We start from the raw sequence: 13,897 nt of genomic DNA on the forward strand, positions 1-13,897 counted from the left end.
GTGTTAAGCAATGCTTTAAGAATGAGGCTCAGCTGCAATCACTGCAATATGAAAATTGGCCTCCCACATCTTTCCAACCAAACTGTGATTTGACTTAGAAAGAAAGATACATGAAGGAGAGCAGGTATCAAGTGTTACTCATCTTTTATGTGTCGCACTGCGCCCAGCACACACAAAGTAGGCACATAACAGATGACTCTAGGGAACTGGCCATTTTATCTTAATACTTCTGTATTCTGTTTCATGTTGTTTCCAACTAGGAGCCAGCAATCATAACACTTGTGCTTTTGAGCAATCTTTTGTTGATCCTTATGATCCCATTAGTTAAAGTGATTAAGTGACCAAATCTGCCACATTATTCTGATGAAAAGTGTCAAAGTTGAACATTAGTCACACTTAGTCAAGACATTTGCAAGGAATCCAGCAAAATCACTGTAAAAGTAAATTTTAAAAAGCATGAGAATACCAAAGTAAAAATGAGTCAAAATAATTTCCAGTCTCTTTATGATTAAGCAAAGAGCCGGATGACTAATATTAAACATCTGTACAATATATTGTCCAAGAACTTTATAGTAATATTATTTGTTAATACATACCACAGAAAAGAAAAAGAAATTATATGACTAAAATAATTAGACTCCTGGGAAAGATAAGCAACTCTTAATTCTCTGAATATGGTATAATTTTATAGGCTAAAATGATGCTTATAAAGGATATTGAGAATAGTTTAAATTATATTTCAGAAAGTATGTCTCAACTGAAATTTAGGAAATGTCTATAAGGTATAGCTTATAATTCATAAATAATACCATATACAAAATATTTAAGTGAATAAACCCAGACAAAAGAGGTATAAAAAGCATAACTTTATTAGTAAATGTCTTTTTAAAGAAAACGATAAAAGCACATAGAATAGTTTTAAAGATAATACCAAAAGCACAGATACTGAGAAATCTTTCAGAATCTCTGCTAACATTTTATGTCCCAGGAAGAGAAGGCAATTTGAGAAATTGCTACCCAGGATCTAGACTGATCAACTCCTAAGATTCAATAGTGAATGACAAAGGGGAAATCCTTAGTTTTCATGGTGATCACAAAAGAGGAGACTGGGCATATTCATCATATTCATGAACCTACTTTAGGTCTTAGGAAGACGGAGTTTAAACAATTTATACGTAAATATGGGGAAGATTCCTTGACAAGAAACTCAGGAAGGACTGGAGCTATGTCGTTTACAAAAATGCCTTTCTATGAATTAGGCCTTGATAACTCAAAAGAGATTTTAATTTAGGATATAGGCAATTTTATAAATTAGAGGGCAAAGGAATGTATAGTCAATAAATACCTCTCAGAAAAATGCCCAGCTATTTGGAAAATGATTCAGTTTGCATCTTTCATCATGCTATTCCCCCAAAATAAGTCTTAGCAGCTGGATCAAAGATTTAAATATAGACAACAGGACCTTTAAAGAAAGGACCTAGGTGGAAATGCAGGTAGATAATGAATTTTAAACAAAGATAATGGCAAGAAACCTGTCGATTCAAATGAGGAAAAATACTTGTTAATGATTGTTAGGACTCACTTTTTAAAACTAACAAATTCCATCCCAGTTTGTGAACCTCAAGTCTTGAGTGAACACATTAGTAAGTAACCTAACTTTTGTAAACTCTGGATTACTTTCATTGACGTTTATAAATCAAGAACTTAGATCAAGTCATTCTTTACTAAAATCTGACAATGATAAGGAGAACTTACCGACAGCAAATGACAGCTTTGCATGACAAAGCTAAGTCCAGGAAATACTGTCGTACTCCAAAGGTTAAGGCATATTTGAGGGTTTTCCCATCAATTATAAGAGCAAAATCATTCTCTTTCCGGAGAGCATCACCAAGGGTAGTACAGTGACGACTGAGAGTTTCCCTTGTTCCCTGGAATATTAAACAAGCAAAAATGCCATCAACATTTACTCCCATTTGTTCTACTAGGATGCCTTAAGGATATTTGGCAACTACATTTAGTTATTTTTAGTGCTTTTTATGTTTCAAATTGCTTTCACATACTTTCAGTCATTTGATTCTTACTAGCCCCTCAGGAGCCTGCACAATTGTTATCAGAAAAAGTTAGTTACTTGATTGAAGTCACACATCTGTTCCTAGCAGGGTTGGGACTAGACTATAAGTCACCTGTTTCTCAGGTGATTCTGTAGTCTTTGCTCATTATTCTAACCATCATTGTTTGAAATGCTTGTTCCCCGGTGCTGTAAAGAAATAGCACTTGAACATAAATTTAATTTATTTAGTAAGGCCATTTTTACTTTTTGCAGAAAGGGTACACTCGCCAGCAGTTTTGCCACGAGAGTACACTGAACAAAGGAGACAGGGTCATTTATAACCTGACGCGTTCACCCCACCGCTGTGTCCGGTTTCCATTGGCTGGAATGGGACCTCACATTCTGTATTTGTCCCGATTGGCTAGCAACTTAGAACCTTTTAAAAGAGGCAAAGGTAAAGGAGAACAAAGGAAGGCGGAAGTAACTTGTGGAATGCTGAGAAAGGTAAAAACACTTTTAAATAAGGAAGAGGAACAGGCTATGACCTAATCTTGCTTGGACCAGTATAAGCATGTCGGGGCAAATATTTAGGCTAAATTGTGGGAGCTAGGAACATAAAGTACATTGATTTCTTTATTATGGCTAGCACAGGTCTTTGAATAAATTTTGCTTTTAAGAGAAATTACTATTTATTCCTAATTAGACGGGGAGGAAAGTCTTTGAAGAGGAACCTCTACTTTACTTTTTACACGACCATGCAATCACAATACGGCAAACATATTTTCAGTAAATTCTTTTGTTAAAAATCGTGTTAATTTATGAGCTAGTCAAAGTTGCTACTCCATGAATGAAGGGAAGAAGTTGGGGAATATATGCATCACTTAACTATGTTTTGGTCAACAGACTGAATATCCCATGGTGGGCCCATAAGATTGTGAGACCATATTTTTACTGTGCCTTTTCTGTGTTTAGATATACAAATACCACTGTGTTACAACCGCCTACAGTATTCAGTACAATAACAGGCTATAAGGGCTTGTAGCCTAGGAGCAATAGGCTATCTTGTGTAGCCTGAGTCTGGAATAGGCTATGCCATCTAGGTTTGTGCAAGTACCCTCTATGATGTTCATACAATGACAAAATTGCCTAATGTCATGTTTCTCAGAATGTATCATTTCATTAAGCAAACTGTAATTTAAATAATTTACAGGCATTCTTTCAAAAATCCTCAATGCTATTGAATTTAACTCCTAGTAACTAAGAGGAGGAAATGCACAATCTGTAAACTCTTGCCTCTTTTATGAACTGGCTTTTGTAATTTTAATCATGATTTCATGATGTTGTATTTAGTTGGGGATGGTGACCTGTGACTTGGTAATCTTGATGGATCAAATAAAAGAACGCCTTCTATCAATGAAGAGTTCACTTTCAGGGACAATAAAAGCCTTTAGTGTCAAGACAGCTTTGTTCACCTCAACTATTTGTCTCCCTTTGTCAAGAACTGCTTTCCCAGCTCTTCAAAGGGATAAAGTTTCAATACATTTAGTTTTTCTCCCCACATCCTATAGATTCTTCCTATAACCTAATGGAGCCAATTTCCTATTTCACAAGAGCCCTACCGTGGTGAAGAAACACAACACTGGCCTGGCACAAGGAAATATAATGAGTAATTCCCCTCCTATCAGATTTCTGTTCTGAGTGCTAAGCCTACAGTTATTTATAAAATAAATACAAATATACATATTTATATAATAAAATATACCTACAATAAAAATACAGTACACTTATATAACAATTTTTATTATGTTCATGGGATTTACAATTATTGTTCCAATTTAAGCATGTCGTTTTATATATATATGGTCATTTTGTAGTTATTTCACAGAGAAGCAAAGGCATAGGTAATTAAAATTTTATGTTGGGGATTTTTGAAAGTGTTTTTACATTTGTATGCAAATGCGGTTCACACTATGTTCTGGAATATCAGAATCCTTTTACCAAAATAATAGAACCAAGTTGTACTATAAAGAAAGACTGCCCAACTTTCCTAATGCTGAAGCTTCACTTAACAGTTGCCCTGTTCCCCATTACACACAGTGACACAAAGGACCACCATATAGCAGCATTCTTTGCAAAATTTTCTGTTCACACTTTACATCAGGGATGGGGGGAGAGTAGCTGTTTTAATTTACAAGCCTCACCCTCCTGTTTCCTGCTGGAAATTTTTGGCCCAAGAGGACTTAAAGAAGTGAAAAATGTTGGTAATAAATTCCACAAGCAAAATTTACTAATGACAATCTATAATAGATATCCCCTGGATTATCTTAACAGCAAATTCATATAGATTAAATGAACAAATAAGTCAATGAACTGATACAAAATATTTAGCACATACTACACACTAAGCACAGTTCTGAGATGCAACACAGAGATGCAGCATTTAAGTTAACACTTGCTACCATCCTGAGCAGGAGGCACTACTGTTATCTCCATTCTGCAGATGAGAGTGTTTCAGTTCCTTGCTTAAAAATATGTGGCTATTAAGTAGTGACATCAAAGTGAGAATGAAATTTCTGCGGTAGCCTGTCTTTTTCTATGCAATCCAGCAAAAAAAAAAACAACAAACCAAACTTCAGACAGTACCAGGCGCAGCAAGTTAGAAATGGAATGCCCACACCAGTCCCTCTGTTGCTTCCCTTGAGCCCTCATCATCTGTCTCTCATCTTGTCTTTACCACCAACAGAGACATCTCTTTATAAAACAAATTTAAAACACAAATCTTGTCTCTTCTTGCTTTAAAAATTTTCTAGGGCTTTCTACAGCTGACACAATAAAGTCTAAACTCCTTAAAATGGCATGTAAGGCTTCCTACATTCTGAGCCTAACTTTCCTTCCCAGTGCCCTTCACAATCTTGGTTTCTTTTGTTTCCCTCTTCCTGGAATGTCCTCCTCTCCAGAGGATCATCTGCTGCCTTCAAAAACCAAGCTTACCCTGTAAGCCCTCCCAGGTTCAGTCCACGCTACCAAGTGTAACTCATTCTACTGCAGCAAAACCCTGAGTTTCTTGACAGGAAAGACCGCGTTAAACCTGTTTCCCAGCAACAAAGGCAGTGTCTGCAATTACAGATGCTCATGAAATACATATTTATTGAATGAGAGCATTGATAAATTCTGATTTCATCCCGTTGGCAATGCTCCATTTCCCCCTTTATTATCACTTCTGATTAGAGAAAGAGAGAGAGTAAGAGAGAGACACACACAGAGAGAGGTCTTCTCTTTGCTCCCTAATTTTCCAGGGAACAAATAATCCATTACTTTAACAGACTTTCAAACAAAGGCATTGCTCACTAAAAAGCCTCTGTATTTTCTTTTAAGCTATTGCCCAAGTGATTTCTGAGCTGAAAACCTGAAATGAAACCTGAGACGGACCTCAGGAGGACTTCGAATTTCTTGAAAGCTCAGCTGCAAAACAAGACCGAAAGTCAAGTAAACCCCAGAACTGTGAAACGCCCTCATGAACCAACATAGGGTATGCAGTCCTGTGGTCCCCGCTCTCCCTCCTTTATAAGGCATTCTCTAACACCTTAAAATTTATTGAAAATTCTCTAAATTCGTGACATCAGTATCCCTAGGTTTTGTTGGTGACTATCACAGATCTCTGGCAAATCAGAAGGTGTCAAGAGATGTGATAGAAATAACATTTCAGAAGGTGAGTCAAAAACTTCTCACAGTGAATTCACTCGTCAGCCCACCTAGGGTGCAAGGTAACAACAACAAAAAAAGCTGCAAACATTTTCTCATTTTAGTTTATAGTTTTCTTTTGTAAGCTCTGTTGTTAGCTGTGTGCTGCCAGTTACAAGTTATATTTTATCCTTATTTACTGCCGGGAGTATTTTCAAATTCTTTTATTTATGAAACTTTATTGCTTCTCCCCTAAGTCCAGGAGCCATACTTTATGGCTGCATTGCATTGAAGCTTATCTCCTGTAGCTAAGGATAAATTTATTACTATATTAGCTGTTGTTTTGTTTTTTTGGCTACTGAAGGGGGAAATTTTTAAATATTGAAACTTAGTGACTTGTAAAAGTGAAAATATAGCAATGAGAAGCTAAATCAGAAAAAGGATCAAAGACCACAGGCTCAATGAAATAAAAGATCTCTATTTCCTTGTTCTGCATATTTTCACTCGTGGGCTGAAAGTCCAGGAGCATCAGAGACATTGCAAGGTAAAGGCAATCTGGGGAGATGGACAGGTAAGAGGAAAGGCTGGGGTTCAAACACTCAGCCAGGCAAGGGAGGGAGCCACAGTGGAAAGTGAGATTCTCGTGCCCCTTCCCTGACCTGCAGCCTGTGTGGTCATTCTGGACAACCATTCTGCTCTGCTCTTCCCATACCCACAGCACCACACAGACAGAGCCCAGTGCTCACTGGAAGCCCTTAGCCTGAACCTCCTACTATGCTTTCTTGCCTTGCAAATTCACCATTTAGGCCACACCCAACACAACCTCTAGGTTCTGTCTCGTTAACACAGAAAGGAAAAAGCCACCTCACTGCGAGGGCAGGATCTACTCCAGCTCCCTCTTCTTATGTGGCTGCTCATCACTGCTGGTCTAGTCTTTTATCCATGTCTAGTGGATTCCATGTTTCCCAGAGGCTACTCCAGACCTTTTCTTCTCTCCTCAAGAGTCCAAATTTGGCCCCTGTCACTTCGGCAAACATCGGCCTGTTTTACTGAGAACATTTATACATTTATAGCAGAAAGAATTCCCTCAACTTTCCTTCCTTAACCTCAAAACTTCCCTTTACCTAATCCCCTCTAGTTCTTGAGCTGGGGTAACACCTGCCTTCTCACCTTTTGTTTCTTTCACTTCTCTTTGCATCTTCATTCTCCCCATTGGCACTATTTCCTTTTCCTTTAAGCCTACCTAAAAGGTCACAATTTTCTTATTCTAAAAATAATGAACAAATAAACCAAGACACATTCCCTTGACCCTACTTTCCCTGAGTCCTCCAGGTGACATCAATACCTCTATCTTTTGGATCCCTGAAATACTTCATTTACAGTATACTTATACAAGGTAGCATGATGTTGAGTAGCTTATCTATTTATATGTCTATATTCCCTTTGGAACAGAGGTCTTTGATGAAAAGGTAATAACAGAATAACCAAATTATTAATGATTGGAGAATATCTTATAGGAAGTTAAAGTGGTTTTCTTGTGTGACCATTTTAAGGATTGTTGTCTGCTGCCTGTAAAACTCCTGTATACTCTTAAATACTCTGATTTAGAATAAAGAAAATGCTAATGTGCTTATCTCATAGAGAAAATGAAAAAGAGGTAGTCATGATCTAGTATCTACTTTGGCCTCAAATATTTTAAATTGTCTAGTGAATGTAATACAATGTATATTTAGATCAGCTACTTAGTCATCAACCTTGGTTGTAAAACAGTGGGCCAAGGAGAAATAATATTTATTTGGTTTACAAGAAACATGCTTGGGAAATAAAAATAAAGAAACATGCTTGGCAGATAATGAGGCCAAGTAGAATTCCTCACTTTGAATCATTAAGATATAACCTTCCCAAACAGGTAATATGTTCATATAATAAACTCTAATAAAATAATGTAACAGCAATCTTTGAGAAATTAGAGACTAGCAGCTTTATGGCAATCTTTTTCATTAATATTGAGGAAACCCTTGATAAAAACCCTTGATAAAAAAACAGGCCTATATCATAAACGTGCAGTCATAAAAAAGTGAGATGTGAGGGTGCCCTAGACAATGAAATCTGACACAGTTTCATAGTGAAATAAATTAAAAGCCCTGATTTGTTTGGAAAGTATCATAGCATGCAAGTTGTCATTTTCATTTTGGCAAAACTCTGCTTGGAACAAGCTAACGAACCCACAGGCCAGATGTGCAAAGAACATGTGAGGCCACCTAAGGACTGTGTTTTTGATGGCCCCTAAAGTAATGCTGCAGAAAGCACCTGCATAAAAATGGTCCTTTTCAGCTTTCTAGCCGAGGTTTACAGGAAAGACAGTATTACTCAGGAACAAATCCAAGCAACACCCTAGTAGAGAATGTGGAAACATCCCTAAGGAAAGGAAAAGCATAGCCTCTAGAATTTGACTCCATGACTCGTTAGCCAGGGGTTCACAGAGCAGAGACGAGGTGAAAATTATGGGTAAATAGTCCGACATGAAGCAGCTAATGGTAGTGGCTTCCAGATCTTGCTCTGAGGCTGCAATTACTTATTTGTGGCTTCAGTAAATAACATGTGCTCTCTCATATATGTCCCAGAGGGTGTCTATCAGTAAGACTAACCCCAAACAAAAAAGTAAAAGGAAAAAGCCTGTCTATACTTATCTAAAGTATACTTTGGCATTTAGGTCCAAACAAAAACAAGTATCCAGCATCTATACTTATTCTTAGGAATCTGTTAAATGTGTGCAGGTCAAATGATAAACTTATGTTACAAGGAGGATTCTATTCCCAGAAAGGAAAAAAAAATCAAAATTCTGCATTATACTTTGAGTTTCAGATACATCATTTAATAATGTATTTCTATTATGGAATGAGGGTCTGTATCCCACCAAAATTCATATGTTGAAATCCTAACTCCTATTTTGATGGCGTTAAGAGGTAGGGTCTTTGGAAGTGATTAGGTCGTGAGGGTGGAGACCTCATGAATGGGATTAGGGTCCTTAAAGCATTTCTGGAGGGCTCCCTTCTTCTTCCATCATGCACAGACACAAGAAGACACTGTCTATGAACCAGGAAGAAGGCTCTCAAGAGACACCAAATCTGCTGCCACCTTGATCTTGAATTCCTTGGTCTCCAGAAATGTGGGAAACAGACTTGGTGTTTAAGCCCCACAGTCTATGGTACTTTTGTTAGCCTGAATGAACTAAGACAATTTCGTTATTCTTGGATTTGTTATTTTTCTTCATGAGTTCACCACCAGTTAAACAAATAAGCATATGATCGGAACTAACAACAAATCACTTTTGGAAGATATACAACTTTCACCTTTGTCAGAATGAACATAAGTTCAGGAAGCCTGTGCTTCCCTCTACAGTATCAGCAACACAAGTTTCTGTTTTTACTTCCCTTCCTTAGAAAGGAAAAAATGCAACAGAATGTTATTAAAACACCTTCAGAAATCTTGCTGAACAAAGATGGTGACTCTACTGAAACGAGGTAACTGGAGGCAGAGCCACTGTGACACAACTCTTCATAGCTGGTCAGCAGACACATGCGAATTACCAGAGTGTAGAGAAAGCAGTGGTCTGCCTGTATCATACAAACGTGCAGTCATAAAAAAGTGAGATGTGAGAAAGTCCAGGCTGGCCCGTGAGGGTGCATACAATGGCTCTGGACACTGATAACATTTGAAAATAAAATGACGTCACACTGTAAAGAACTAAGTTCCAAAGGTCGAAACATACCCTATGGCTCAGAACTCCAGGTTTTCGTCAACTTCAGGTGGATGTACAGTATGGTAAAGATAAACTAATCAAACATTATTCACCTTCTTGGAAAAGGGAAAATTAAATGTTATTTTGAAAAAAATTCCCTAATGAATGATAAAAGTTAAACAGGAAATAATAAATAGTTTCAACCACTTACTTAAGACAGCAAGAACTCCAAAACCCTTTTGGATCTTGGGCAGCTACGTGAGCTTAGAGTTCTACAAAGGATTATATCACACATATCAAAAAGTATTATGGGTAAATTCATTTCATGGCCTATCATAAACTCTTCGCCAGAGTTATGTATGTATTTCAATGTACCTCCTCATGATTTAATGTAATTTTTTTGGTTTGACTGACTCTAGAAGGCCAACTGTGTGGTATTGGAAAGGTTTCCTCCGAATCCTTGCTCTGCCGCGTACTGGCTGTCTTTCCTCAGGCAGGTGACTTAACTTCTCTGAATCACATTTTTCTCATTCATAAGATTGGGTTACTATCTATTTTGTAGAGAGATTATAGTGATAAGATGTGCTAACTCCTTTATTTGTGAATAAAGTGCCCTGTCCAGTGCCTGGCATGAAGTGACATCCAGGAAAGGTTAGTTCTGCCCTTCCTCTGGTATCAGGTCTAACAAAGGTACTAACACGAAACGCGCCAGGTCCGGTGGCTCCCACCTGTAATCCCAATACTTTGGGAGGCCGAGGAAGGCAGATCACTTGAGGTCAGGAGTTTGAGACCAGCCTGGCCAACATGGTGAAACCCCTTCTCTACTAAAACAAAAAAATTAGCCGGGTGTGGTGGCACATGTCTGTAATCCCAGCTACTCAGGAGGCTGAGGCAGGAGAATTTCTTGAACCCAGGAGGCAGAGGTTGCAGTGAGCCAAGATCATGCCACAAAAAAAAAAAAAAAAAAAAAAAAAAGAGGTCAGGCTTGGTGGCTCATGTCTGTAATCCCAGCACTTTGGGAGGCCGAGGCGGGTGGATCACCTGAGGTCAGGAGTTCGACACCAGCCTGGCCAATATGGTGAAACTCTGTCTGTACTAAAAATACAAAAATTAACTGGATATGACATGACAGGTGCCTGTAATCCCAGCTACTTGGGAAGCTAAGGCACGAGAATCGCTTGAACCTGGGAGGTGAAGGTTGCAGTGAGCCGAGATCACGCCACTGCACTCCAGACTGGGCGACAGAGTGAGACTCCATCTCATGTGACTGGGATAATTTTAAGTTTTCTTATGAAATCTCCCAATGGCAATTTTATTTCAATTTACCTTTTGACTGCCAACATTCAATACTATCAGCTACTTCTGGAAACCTGTCTTCTCAATCTAGGAAAGATGGCATTATCTAGTCTCATGTGACATATAGCTCTTGGTACATGGTAGGAGGACAAATATTTATATAACTAACCACTGATTTTCTCTCTTAATTTCTGTCTCCAACCTGATAGAATTCTTAACTGAAAATAATTGGAAAGTTATAAACTGATGTGGCATTTCTCTTTTATTATCTGTATAGTTCTGCATAGGTGACCACATCAATGTATGTATTTGGTTTAAAATAATTAATTATAAAGACGACACCCAGGGTTTGTTTTGCTGACATGTTCTTCAGACACAACACCACTGAGTTCATTCTTAGGTTTTGTTTTTAAAGCAGAGAAATAAATGTTTACTGGGAGTAAAAAACAAAAACACCACCAGCACCTTACTTTAGTTTGCTAAGGCTCTACCTTTTAAAATCTACTATAAATTAATTTAAAATGTCAAATAAGAGGATATATATAAGAATCTTAAACTAACACATATTTTATTAGCTGTTTTGGTGGTTTGAGGCTCCACCTCATCATCATTTAAGACGTGAGGTATTTACAAATTTATGGTCAAATCATGTTTCATTCTGTCTCTACTCTTACACTCTCCAAATGTTCACACTTTAAAATTATGAATTAACGGAACATTCTAGAAACATTCTTAATAATACATTATGACCATATCAAGTATGGACAATGTTAGCACGTTCTTAAAGAGTGAGTTATGGCTCCCATAATAACATATGGATAAACCATTGGGTATTACTTGCTTTTCTACAATGTGTTATTGATTCAGTGGAACACTGGGCATTCCATATACTCCTACGCAACACATATATCAATACTCCTCCAGCTACTGCAGGTGGTAGTAAAAGAACGTATGCCTGAGAGTAGGGAGAAACTACATTTATGTACAACTGGCCCATTTAGTATTCATCCCAGTCAGGATCACTAGCTCTCTTTGACGTGGTTCCCCTGCAACCCCCTGACACATTATAAAATCAAAACTTATTTTAAAAAATTGTATTTATTGGTTTTTTTTTTTTGATGTAGTTTTTGATCAAAAAGCTTTGGTGTTTCCAAACTCGTAGCCTGTACTAGAACATAATGTTGAAAAACATATGTGTATAGAATCAAACCAATATAAAGTAATTTTTCCAAAACGGGTAAGGCAGACAGAAGGTGAAGTCATTAAAAACACATGGTCAAAGAGGTCCTCCAAACAGCTTAGAGGAAGGCGGCCCAACGAACGCATTTAATCAATATATATTGCTAAAGATAATGGGGAGAGGAAAAGAGAAAAAAAATTCCATGCTTTGCTAATACACAAATATAGGTTTCCCAGGACGGGGGTAGATATGGAATACTGTAATTGAGGAAGTGGTCCAATCTCCCAGAAGGGTCATGCCATCTGACAAAGGTCAAGGGTCACAAAATGGAGGCAGGTAGGAAGAGGAAGTTGTAGTGCTGGGTAAATTGCTCTTGGCCCCTCAACAGAGGTTTGAGATTTGGGATTATGATAGGTTCCATCAGGCAAATAAGTGCTTGCGAGGCATCTAGTCTCACTTAGGGTACAATGCAGAGAGAGGCAGCAAAGTGCTGAATCTGTGTCCAGTCTGTGTTTCAGCACGGGGGTGGGGACATGTAGCAAAGACAGACAAATCCAGGGAAAGGAAGGAAGAGTGGGATAAGGGATATAATTATATAATTTAAAGAGTTTTCTGGATAAAGGCTTTTACCAAAGCCCCCATGGTAATTATTTTAAACCACCACTGAAAGCCTCCTAAACACTTATTTTGACTTTGGTATTAAATATTCTCCAGTGGCAGCAGTGAATGCAGAAGCAAAGCACGCGGGGAGGAACTGGGTAGGCAGACATCCAGTCTCTCTCATTACCTTCAATTCAGCCAGGAAGAGGCTGCTCAGAATACACAACTGGCTTTCTCAAAATAAGCAAATTACAAATCAACAGTTTGGAGAAGGTAACAACTAGGGCCTGTGAGAAATTGTTACCCAGAACCACAGAGAAAGCTAATGTTGGGCCCATTTTCTAAATAATTTAAATTAATTAATGTAAGAAAATAGAAGAATCATGATCTGCCATATTTTCTCAGTGCAAATCCCAAACGCACACAATTTCCATTATTTTATATAGATATATACACACATATACACACATATATATACGCACATATATACACATACACATATATGCACATATACCCCCCCCCACACATATATACGTACATATATATACACACACACACAGTCAATAACATCTTATGTACAGTTGTATTAGCAAAATTAAATATGAGGTCTTTTCAGAATTCCATAATCACAAGATTTGGGCATTGTCATATTCCAGAAGAGTCTCCCTCTTTCAGGGGTTCTGTGGTCCTGGTGGTGAGTGGTAAAGGAGGTAGGAAAATGGGAAAGGGGGATAAGTGTTGGATGGAGAATGAAAATGAAACAAGTTAATAAGTTTGGGAGATAGCTGCTGGAATATTTCTTTCTGCAAATGAGTTACTGCTGCCACTGGAGAAGGTACGGTTATTTAAAACCAAAATCAAACAAAAACAGTTTGGGACTTCAAGCAATCAAGGTTCACATTTAAGATTCCAGCACTTGCTAGACATGGGAACTCAAAGTCTCTATCTGGAACTGAGACAAACACCACCAGCTCTAAAGGAGCACAGATTACAGATACACCAGGCGTACTGGCACATAGTAGGTTTCCTAAAAACTGTCATTTTATGCGTGTGCTGACTCATCAGAAGGTATTGGTGGCAGAGATGCAAAGAGGGCACGAGGCATGGCGTGCGCCTCTCAGAAATGTCAACAAACTTGTGGGGGAGAATGGCAAGGGGGCAGACTAGTTAGAAAGCATTTATCTGCAATTCTAGGTCTCAGGGAGCTCTTGGAAGAGTTCAGAAATTTAGCCAAAAATGAGGCAAAGAATATTCAGGGTTGAGGGGTGGAAGAACTTCTCAAAACAGACACACTATAAATTTGTGAACAACCTCACTTAAGGTTCTCAGCACAAGCCAGCCTCGCTGA

At 38.1% G+C, this 13,897-nt stretch overlaps 1 protein-coding gene across 12 annotated transcripts in view, besides 3 other annotated features; it reads right to left on the bottom strand.

The window, feature by feature from the left end:
• ATP8A1 (ATPase phospholipid transporting 8A1) overlaps positions 1-13,897 on the bottom strand; it is a 248,733-nt gene that overhangs the window by 75,368 nt on the left and 159,468 nt on the right. For 11 of the 12 annotated variants that reach the window (NM_001400027.1, NM_001400026.1, XM_047449508.1 and 8 more), the window contains one exon: positions 1,756-1,928. The exons of the other annotated variant lie outside the window; for it this stretch is intronic. In NM_001400027.1, the coding sequence (NP_001386956.1) occupies positions 1,756-1,928 (173 nt within the window). The remainder of the gene's footprint in view (positions 1-1,755; positions 1,929-13,897) is intronic. 12 annotated transcript variants of the gene reach the window in all.
• Positions 4,412-4,461: a silencer, noted in NCBI's record as "silent region_15394". NCBI's record gives its function as "represses an Ori minimal core promoter by ATAC-STARR-seq in GM12878 lymphoblastoid cells {active_cell/tissue: GM12878}" and the evidence as "EXISTENCE:reporter gene assay evidence [ECO:0000049][PMID:35858748]".
• Positions 5,356-5,405: an enhancer, noted in NCBI's record as "active region_21517". NCBI's record gives its function as "activates an Ori minimal core promoter by ATAC-STARR-seq in GM12878 lymphoblastoid cells {active_cell/tissue: GM12878}" and the evidence as "EXISTENCE:reporter gene assay evidence [ECO:0000049][PMID:35858748]".
• Positions 9,272-9,566: an enhancer, noted in NCBI's record as "tiled region #3359; HepG2 Activating DNase matched - State 9:DNaseU". NCBI's record gives its function as "activates a minimal TATA promoter and a strong SV40 promoter by Sharpr-MPRA in HepG2 cells {active_cell/tissue: HepG2}" and the evidence as "EXISTENCE:reporter gene assay evidence [ECO:0000049][PMID:27701403]".

Source organism: Homo sapiens, chromosome 4 (assembly GCF_000001405.40).
Source record: "Homo sapiens chromosome 4, GRCh38.p14 Primary Assembly".
In the NCBI taxonomy this organism is placed as follows: Eukaryota; Metazoa; Chordata; class Mammalia; order Primates; family Hominidae; genus Homo; species Homo sapiens.